A 10,529-nucleotide genomic window follows, 5' to 3' on the forward strand; every position below is an offset into this window, starting at 1 on the left:
CTGCCTCTTGAATATTCCCTGTCACCTTGGATCCCTTAGAACATAGTGTGCATCACATCTTCCATTCTCACCCCGCCCCATGCTGGCTATATTCCTATATTCGTACTCAGATCATAGACACTTGTTTGCTACCCATAAAAGGAAGAACTGGAGGTAACAGTGTCCTCATCCCATTTACCATCAGCACATATTATTTTTTAAAAATTCCACCTAGAAGCTGAAGGACAACAGATTTAAACCCATATTCTTCTACTCATTTTCAATTTGCTTCACTATGATGGTGTCACATGCTGATTCCAGATAAAAGCAAGTGATTTTCTGATATATAACCATTAAACAAATCTTACTGGTCTTTGGCCATCAGAATTACTGGGCTTTGTTCATCTCCCTTGAATCCTAAAAAATGAAAACACTGATAAGCTCAAATTTTTATTAACCTTGGAACAAATGCAATAATTCCTTACAGTCATATAGCATTTTACAATTCTGAAAGAATTTTCACATATACCAATTGAACCCTCACAACAGCCCTGTGAGGTAGGCAGGGTAGGTGTTACTTTCCTACTGCTAGTGAGGAGAACAAGGCTAAGAGGTGAAGTAAGGTCACACAGTTGGTAAATGATGGAGCTAGGACTAGAACCTAGGCCTTCTGACTTGCTGCCTCCCTGAGAACATTCAAGTAATAATATCCTATGCTATATAATGAATATTTATCTCCTATGATGTTGATCAGGTCTATTTTTATACATTTTACCTGTTTTTATATTACCTTTCCCTAATACTGAAAAACACTAAAACTGATACGAGACATTTGAGACATTTCTTCTCTGTTACTGGACTTTCTTAGATATATCAAACACTATCCTAAGATGAAACTTCTGTTTTGAGGATCCTTGGCTATAAATTCTCAATTATGATACGAACATTTATTTTACAAATTCTACAAAAGTATGTTGAACTTAAGAAAAACAAAACAGGTGTGTTTATATTCTCAAAAGCTTTGCCATCTTTCCCAATATGACTTTAATATGTGTATAAATGGAAAACAGGGAAAGGTGTTCAGCAACATTACAGTATTATTGGGAAACCTATGCAGAGTGCACATAAATGCAAGTTACATCACATTAATTTGTTTTCTTTGTTGGCCTTATAGAGGATGAACCATTAGTGTCTTTCAGGTTTGATCCTGTCTTATATGTGACATCCTCAGCAACAAGCTAAAATGATCTGAATTATACCAATAGCGGGGCTCAAGCAGCAGTGATCAAAACATAATATGTATGTGGTAAAAAGGAACACTTGTTCTTCAGTGGTTTTGCCTAGGTCCAGTGTAATTACTTATCAAAACATGTTTTAAGCTACAGCATCTCTGTTAAATTTAGAAATGTGAAACATGGAAGAGTTATCAACTTGGAATACAATACTAAAACTGAATATAACTGACCCAAAACTACCTGTCAAAAGCACAGTAAAGCTTAACAGGCATAAAAACTAAGGGGTAAAACCCAACTGCTCTGACATAAGAGTGAAAAACAGCAAATGCAAACCATCAGGTTAAAGTGAATCACAAAACATTAGGCATGTAGAGCATGTTTTAAAAATAGGAAAATGACACTGAGCTGTATTACCAGGAATAATATTTTTAAAATTCCAGGTATGGCCTTCTACATTTAATAGCAATGGAGAGAAACAAGCCTATGGGGGAGGTGCAGAAAATGAATGGGATCTAGAAAGGGAGTTGAGTTTGGAAGTTAAGGAAGTCAAAGAAACAAATACATCCAAAATGGATTTAGAATCTCTCCTCTAAATCCATCCTTTCCAAAAAATGTTTCCTATATTGAGAGATTTGGTAAAAAAAAAAAAATTAGCTAGTGACAGTAAGTAACTATATTACCTTATAAAATAAAGTAGTATTTAAATGTAGATCAGAAATTATGCTGTCAAAGATAAATCTGCTGACTAGGCTGTAGAATCTGAAACTTAAATGCTACTATCAGTGATAGAAGGCAGAAAAGTGTCTCAAAAACAGAATTGCCATATTAGGACTCAACATTAATGAAACTATTAAGAAACAAGTACTTAACTGTTTGTAATTGAAGCCTACTGAAAAACACATTTGTATGTTTACTAAAGAGATCTAACAGTTTTAACTGACGAAAAATACTGCAGCTACATTTCAGTCTTTTAAGGTAAAACAAGATCTAGAATATTCTAGTTCAGTATACTGGGCTCAAAACCAACTTTCCTTTTGAAATGCATCTAGACTAGACTATATTCCTTACATAATATCATTGTCATCATCATCTTCATGTTTTCTCTTCAGTGGGTTTGCTTCATTGGCTGTGTTCTGTGACGAAACCATGTTGGTGGTAATAAGAATATTTTTGGGCCCAATCATTGAAGGATTAATCAGAACATTTTGAACTGCAGTTGTTGCAGGAACTGTAAACAGAGAAGAAAGCCCCCCCAAAACCAAGCTATGAATTACCCAGAATCTGAAACATATGATAAAAAGTATACAACAAAGCTGAATGTAATTCTAATACCAATTTCAATAGCATGAAGTGCAACTATATCATAGAAGAAACATAGGTACTTATACTGCAATGAGTTGAATTAAATTTTAAAAAATCTTTATTTTTAATTGGCAAATAATAATTGTGTATTTATTTTTAAATTACTATTTTTTTGAGACAGTGTCTCGCTCTGTCGTCCAAGCTGGCGTGATCTTGGCTCACTGCAACCTCCGCCTCCTGAGTTCAAGTGATTCTCGTGCCTCAGGTTCCCAAGTAGCCGGGATTATAGGCGTGTACCACCAAACCTGGCTAATTTTTGTATTTTCAGTAGAGACGGGGTTTCACCACGTTGGCCAGGCTGGTCTCGAACTCCTGGCCTCAAGTGATCCTCCCGCCTCGGTCTCCCAAAGTGCTGGGATTACAGGTGTGAGCCATTGTACCCTGCCAATAATTGTGTATATGTACGGGATATAATGTGATGTTCTGATCTATGTATAGATAAAGATTAAACATATCTAGTACAAGGTTGAAGAAGTTCTGTTGTATTTTAACAACCTAGAATTTCAATTTAGTCATGGGAAACTGCACTGGATTCATCATGCAACATATTAAACAAAGGCCTATGTTCAAGGTCAGGAATCACTTCCCTAATAGGCCAGTATTTTACGTTAGTTGCTTATTGTGTGTGGTTAGGTTTCAGAAGATATGAAATCTAGACATACACATTAGTAAACTGTGCTATGACAGAATTCTTATTCCAATCTGTGTGTGTGTGTGTGTGTGTGTGTGTGTGTGTGTGTGTATCCTATGAAGTAAAGGTACAATTTCATTTGAATTTACATTTATGTTCTGGATTGCATACACATATTCATCACTAAGTTTTGTCGCTTTCTTGAGCTTTTACCTTAACTGCTTTTCCTTGAAGACGACTTAGATTTGTGGACCCTAACTGTTTAGCTGACGGTGTTCTTTGAAAATCTGATGAACACACTGAATACTCTTTCCCTCCTCCCCAAAACGTTACATATATAGTAGTCCCCCCTTATCTGCAGTTTCAGCTACTTGTGGTCAACTGCGATCCAAAAATAGATGAGTACAGTACAGTAAGATACTTTGAGAGATCACACTCACATATATTTTATTACAGTATGTTGTTGTAATTGTTAATTAATTATTGTTAATTTCTTGCCGTGCCTAATTTATAAATTAAACCTTATAATTTAGAAAGTTTATAAATTTAACTTTAAAGGTTGTAAATTTAACTGGGGGTCTTGGAACAATCCCTCAAGGATAAGGGGGGAGACTACTTTATGTAAAATTTCACAGAATTTTAGAGGGCTCATAGGTCCCTCTGAAGAACCCTCATTTGCAGCATTACTGCCACCTTCCTGTTGGGTATTAAAACAATTTACCTCTTGCTATAGGAATACAAACGGTCCTACAATTTCAAATTATTCACAAATTCTGTCCCCCACTCCCAATCACATTACCTGGTTTGACAGGTGTGGACTGAGAAGGTGGAATCTGCACCGTAAATCTTTGGCTTGTCACTGACATTGGAGTTGCAACTTTATTTGGGACAGACACCGTTTGTGGGGTTGCTGTAGTTACAATAAACAGACCATGTTTGTTAGGTGACTTATACAGATTTATATTCTACACTCAGCTTACCGCAAACTATCTTCAAAGCAAAGGAAACTAATAAAAGGTGAGGAAAAAGTCATTAGAAATAAGAGCAAAACAACCTTAAAAAAATTTACAAGCTTGTTTAGATGTTACAAAATTCAGTATAGAATAGTGGTAAAGAATGTAGGCTCTGTAGCCTACCTGCTTGAGTTTGAATACAGGCTCTCACCTACTAGCTGAGTGTCCTTGGGCAAGTTTATTTAAATTTTTGTGCCTCAGTTTTCTCCTCTGTAAAATGGGGGATATATCACCCATTTCATATAATTATTGTGAAAATTAAGTAAAAATAATCCCTGTAAAACTCTTCAAACAGCCTCTAGTACACAGTAAGCACTGAGGTATAGCTGGATGAAGACATAAAGATGAGAGTTTAACCTACCAGAATAAAGACCCAGGTTTTCTATTTATTACCTTAGTTGGCACTTTTAATCTTGGTCACCTGCTGAGAATCAGAAGATGTCATCTATGCCCATGAAACTAAAGCAGAGATCAAATACACCCCTTGAGGTCTCCAGGTGGGCCCAGAAAATTTATTCCCTTTCTGTGTTCAGATACTTTTTAAGCAGAAAAATATCTTGGAGATAACCTAGTCTAAACCCCCAGTCATCTAAATTCTACCCATTATTCCAAGGTACAGCTCAAATACTACCCCGTTTTATAAAACTTTCCTTAATTTTCTCAGTTAAACGTCTTATATCCTGCCTCTGAAGTTCCCTTAACGTCATAGGAGTCATTATTATCTTATCTCATTGACTAGATTACAAGCCTTGACTAACATTTTTCATCCTTGTGAGCACATGGCTCTTTTACCTTGCTCCTAATAGGTACTCAACAAATGTTTGCTTAATAAATGTATTTTGTAAGACTCGAAGACTTAATATATATACTGACATCATTGCTCTCTTAAAAAATACATTTATGGAAATGTATCCATTTCCAATTTTTCATTTGGGGATGCAGGCTTTCCAATACATCCCTTCCCCCTGGAACCAGCAGTCTACCCAGAGATAGAGTTGCTGAGGACACTGCAATTATCATCATTTCTAGAGACAAAGGTGAAGAAAGTCTAAGGGAATAAAGCCCAAAGGTACTGAGAAATCCGGGTTTTACTGCTTTCTCTCCCAAACACAGAAGGTGAGACCTTCCTCTAAAATATCTCCATCCCTAGGTAAGTTTTCCCATGTGTTAAGGATCAGTTCAAAGAATTTGGTGAAGCGTAATGAAGCAATGTAAGTATTTTATTTTATAAAGAAAAAAGAAAACTCACAGTAGGTGGATGTTTTCTTGGCCTAAGGATTGTTAATACATTTTAGTAGGTATGGAGTTCAGGCTTTAAAACTGAACACATTAGACTGTAGATGGAGCTTCCCCCAATTGAACAGAGTAAATACTCAGGTCTTAAGTCTATATAAATCATTTTAATTTTTTTTTTTTTTTGAGACAGAGTCTTACTCTGTCGTCCAAGCTGGAATGCAGTGGCATGATCTTGGCTCACTGTGACCTCCGCCTCTTGGGTTCAAGCAATTCTCGTGCCTCAGCCTCCCGAGTAGCTGGGATTACAGGCACCCGCCACCATGCCTGGCTAATTTTTGTATTTTTAGTAGAGACGGGGTTTCACCATGTTGGCCAGGCTGCTCTTGAACTCCTGACCTCAAGTGATAGGCCCACCTTGGCCTCCCAAAGTGCTAGGATTACAGGTGTGAGCCACCGCACCTGGCCAACTCATTTTAATTTTTTTAAATTTTAAAACTTGCATCTTTATGCCTGGCGTGGTGGCTCACACCTGTAATCCTAGCACTTTGGGAGGCCGAGGCAGGCAGATCACTTGAGGTCAGGAGTTCAAGACCAGCCTGGCCAACATGGTGAAATCCCGTCTTTACTGAAAAAAAAAAAAAACACAAAAAAACAAAAATTAGCCTGGTGTGGTGACGCACACCTGTAATCCCAGCTACTCGGGAGGCTGAGGCAGGAGAATTGCTTGAACCCAGGAGGCAGAGGTTGCAGTGAGCCAAGATTGTGCCATTGCACTCCAGCCTGGCCTGGGTAACAGAGTGAGAGTCTGTCTCAAAAAATAAAAAATAAAAACAAAAAAAAACTTGCATCTTTAAAACTATCAGGCGTTTTTTGGTAGTGCCCTGACTCTAGATTTTAACAATCTCTGAACAGTATGTACAACAAATGTCTAGCTAGGAATAAAAATCACAACTGATAACTAAAATTGGTTAACCTGCCTAACACACGAAACTGATTACCAGCCTAGGGGTTTAAAAAAGCTGGTATTCATTTAAGTAATGTGAACCCACAGACAAACAGTATATGATGAAAATTTACAAAGATTATAATGCAGATTTCTGTCCACAAAGGTCACAGGTAGGTAATTAGACATGTACAACTAATACTATACCCAAACTGGTTTTACAATGCTGAAATGCAAATTTACATCCTGAGAATATGAAGAGAGGGTTTACACACCTCAAAAATCAAATGCTGTTTATACCTGAGCTATATGACAGCTATAGGACTCAAGTTATAAGCAATAAGAGCCAATAAATTAATACTGGTGAAAAGGGACTTTTCTGAAAATACTTTGAATACTAGACTATGCAAGAAACCCAGCAGGAATGTAGGAAAAAAAAAACAGGAAATCTAAGTCCATTATTTGTTTTCCTTATTATCTAAACAACAATATTAAAAAGAAACAAATAATGGTTTCTAAATACCATTCTCCACTAAAAGGAACTAGAGCTCTTTGGACAAGTGGATGATTCTAGGACCTAGGCAGAAAAATATAAAGATGAGTTTGGAACATCTTGTTGCATCAGAAAGCAAGAAATGATCACAGAATGATGCAGATACGTCAAAAGGACACAGGAAACAGCTTGAAGGGGCTCCCACTGACCAATCTAAAACAATCAGTACTATGTTTTAAAAAGGTTAGTATTAAAAACAATTTTTTTCTTTGAAATCCTTAAGATTTTTGTACACCTTAATCTTCTTTCTACTGTATTCTCATCAATGTATTTGGAAATTTAAATTTCTAATAAGTAGTCTACTGCCATAAGTGTGTGTGGCACCTTATAGAAGGCGTAAAGTACACAGCTAAGAGTAAACTCCTGTTTTTGGTATCAGAGTTTATACCAACAACAATGGGGGCAATGTCCAATTTTATATTCATTTGAGATCAGACGTTCCTTGTGGCTTTCTCATTTTGAAATCCAGTAACATGTATGTTTATAGCTTTACTAGAGGATGAGTAAAATTATTAATAGTAACACATACACAAGAATTTCTGATTCACTTTTTGACTTGCATTATAGTTCAAAACCAAGTGCTGAGGCACTGCTTTACCAGCCAGAAATGCCATTGTCTCCTCTCACTTACCTATAGTAGGAGTAGTAGGTTTGCTACTAACAGCACCAACACTTAATCGTGGAACTAGTCTCCCTTGGTTAGGTCCCTAGGGGATTTAAAAAACAAATTAATGTTAAGATGTGACACCTAAATTTACCAGGAATGAAATTAGGATTGCTGATGTAAATGATTATGGATAATCCATGGCAAGAAAGTCCTGTTTTTGTTCTCTCAGTGTTCTAAATCCAACATTTAATCTGGGGTTTGTATAAACATATATACATCTCTATCTATATAAAAATAGATATGAATACGTATAAAATCTTATGCAGTATTAAAGTTTAAGATAGCGGTTATCCCCATTCAAATAAGACTGTAACTACTTTGTGATTTTTAATCTTAACTGGTCAATTTCTTAACCCAAAAAAGAATAAAACTCTTATAGTGGAACTTCAGAAAAGGCAGCCTATTATGGGGAGAACTTTTTCAGTGGTGGGAGAGCTTTATGTCATATTTTAGAAAGCTGGCCTAATTCCTGATGGTATCATTTCCTCTGTTATTAGGCCTCACTAAAAAACTATGATATAGTGGAAAGACTGGGAGTTATGAGGCTTGGAATCAGTCCTAGCTTTGCTACTAACTTCATAAATGAGTTCAGGCCCTGCTTCCTGATGTGAAAAATGACTGTTGAGTTAGATGAACACTAAAGTTCCATCTAGCTCGAAAATTTTTTAAAATTAAAAAAATTCTAGTAAGTTATCTTAACCTTTAATCTACTATACTAGCTACAGGAATTTGCTTTTCACAAAGTCCCCTATCATATTCCACCTTTTAAAAAAAGAAAAGTTGACTAAAATTTCTTACCTTTTTAATTAAGGACTTCAGCCTATAGTTTGGAGCTGTTAAGCAGTATCTATCAGGTGGCAGTCTAGGTCCTGCATATGGCTTAATCAGTGGCAAAGGGGTTTGATTTTTCTGCCTTGCGATATCCAGTAAAAACTTAAAAAAAAAATCCTTATTAGAACTACAGTTTTAAAAATTGTAAGTAAAAATAACTTCAAATCAAAGTTTGCTCACATCTCTTGGGGGAGGAGAGGTAAAAGATTGGTCAGCACGACACTGGATTGCCAGTCTCACATCATCTGCATCAACATTAGGTTTCTTAGCATGGCTCGAATAAATTTTTGCATCATCCAGAATTGTAGTCACATAACCTATAAGAACAAAACAATCTTTTCTTAAACATATGAAGACAGCTTAATATTTATGGCTACTTGTCTTAATAAAACTTTCCACTAATTTGTAGACGGTTTATAAATTTTGTGGGTTTTTGTAGAGACAGGGTCTCGCTATGTTGCCCAGGAAACTCCTGGCCTCCCCGCGACAGCCTCCCGAAGTGCTGAGATTACAGGTGTAAGCTACTGTGCTCAGCCTAAATGCTGATTTTAATAAGTAATTGTCCTGTCTATATGATCAGTTTTAAACAGATATCACAGTGTGAATACTACTGTCCCCTAGCTTGAGCTCCTTTCGTTCTTTAGGCTGAATTCTATGATACTGTTAACATAATTTGGTTGAAAATGTTCTTACAAGGCTGGGTGCGGTGGCTCACGCCTGTAATCCCAACACTTTGGGAGGCCGAGATGGGGGGATCACTTGAGTCAGTAGTTCGAGGCCAGCCTGGGCAATATGGCGAAACTCCCTTTCTACTAATAATACAACACTTAGCCGGGCGTGGTGGCAAGTGCCTGTAGTCCCAGCTCGGGAGGCTGAGGCACAAGAATCGCTTGAACCCAGGAGGCGGAGGCCGCAGTGAGCCAAGATCGCGCCACTGCCTTCTAGCCTGGGCAACAGCGAGTCCCTGTCTCAAAAAAGAAAATAAAAGAAAATGTTCTTACAATAAAAATATCTTTTCAAGTTCACAAGTTAGGCAAGTTTTTGGTGTTTCATTAACTTACGGAAAGCAAATTCCAACATTTGATTTATAACCCTTGGTTCATACTCTGTGATTCCCATATCCTTCAGGATCTGTGCCATCACCTGTGGATTCAAATAAAAACACCAGATGCAGAATTTGGTACTGGAAATCAAGGCTGCACTGAAGGGTAGTATTTATATTTATGATACAAGGTTCCCCTTCTTTGGGCTCCAAAGTCCTACTCACCCTTGCCCTCCCAAGTGAGTCAGTGATCACACGAAATCGCATAGTACGCTTTTGCAGAAAACTTTTATTTTTATTTTTTGGCGGGGTTGGGGGCGGGGTGTGGGGCAAAGAGAAGACAGAATTTGGCTTCTCCAGCAGAGGTAAGTAGCTCCAGCTGGTTGTCATTTTTGGCTGTGGCGGCGGGTTAAGGTAGCATCAGAACCCTGGACGCGGAGTCAGGGCTGGCAGATAGCTAGAGACGAGGGGGAGGCAGGGGCCCGAAGCCCAGGACACAAAGCTGGGCAGCCGTTCCGCAAGCTCCACTGGACCGCGACCCTCTGGCAAGACTTGGCCCAAGCGGCGAGATAGGGGCCCGGGGGCCAGGGCGCATCCCCATCACCCTCTCCTCCTGACGGCCCTGACTAGACTGAAACGAGCGTGCGAGCCGACCCTCAGGCCCTCAGCGTGGCCCCGCCTCGCAGGTCCCTGGCTGCACCTGGCTTCGCGATCCGCGGCTTATCCTTCGCACTTACCAAGGCATCTCTCGGAGCGTTCTTGGGAGGCGCCATCTTGCCCGACTCCATGTTATCCAGCCACTCGTCATCCGCGGAGACAGAGGAGAGAGGAGAGCTCGCGGGCTCCTCGCTCAGGCTCCACCCCTGCGGGGAGCGGGAGGAGGGAAACGGAAGGCGGGGTTACGTGCCAGCCGCCGGGGGCGGGAGTTTCAGCAAGCCGCTGGCCAGGGGAAGAGACGCGCTGGGGTGCCCGAGTTCAGTATTGGAAGAGGCAGGTAATCCTTCCCCATGGAGCCTGCTGGGGCCTGAAAGAAGTAG

General features: G+C 38.9%; 1 protein-coding gene across 1 annotated transcript, besides 1 other annotated feature; it reads right to left on the minus strand.

Annotated features, from left to right (window-relative positions):
* On the minus strand, positions 417 to 10,319 carry TAF9B (TATA-box binding protein associated factor 9b). The gene is made up of 7 exons (NM_015975.5): positions 10,230 to 10,319; positions 9,512 to 9,593; positions 8,631 to 8,767; positions 8,418 to 8,552; positions 7,584 to 7,659; positions 4,007 to 4,117; positions 417 to 2,442 (listed from the first exon to the last, which is right to left on the minus strand). Exons 1-7 carry the CDS (start codon positions 10,278 to 10,280, stop codon positions 2,279 to 2,281), a joined length of 756 nt encoding a protein of 251 aa, NP_057059.2. The 5' UTR covers positions 10,281 to 10,319; the 3' UTR covers positions 417 to 2,278.
* Positions 10,008 to 10,317: an enhancer, noted in NCBI's record as "active region_29785". NCBI's record gives its function as "activates an Ori minimal core promoter by ATAC-STARR-seq in GM12878 lymphoblastoid cells {active_cell/tissue: GM12878}" and the evidence as "EXISTENCE:reporter gene assay evidence [ECO:0000049][PMID:35858748]".

The sequence above is a fragment of the Homo sapiens genome, chromosome X, assembly GCF_000001405.40.
Source record: "Homo sapiens chromosome X, GRCh38.p14 Primary Assembly".
Taxonomy (NCBI): domain Eukaryota; kingdom Metazoa; phylum Chordata; class Mammalia; order Primates; family Hominidae; genus Homo; species Homo sapiens.

Excerpts from the sequence above, each read along its gene's own strand:
- TAF9B (NM_015975.5), bottom strand. The coding sequence starts at position 10,280 with ATGGAGTCGGGCAAGATGGCGCCTCCCAAGAACGCTCCGAGAGATGCC. Across the intron at positions 9,594-10,229 it reads ACGCTCCGAGAGATGCCTTG|GTGATGGCACAGATCCTGAA; the intron begins GTAAGTGCGAAG and ends TTGAATCCACAG. Across the intron at positions 4,118-7,583 it reads ACCTACTACTCCTACTATAG|CAACCCCACAAACGGTGTCT; the intron begins GTAAGTGAGAGG and ends TTGTAACTACAG.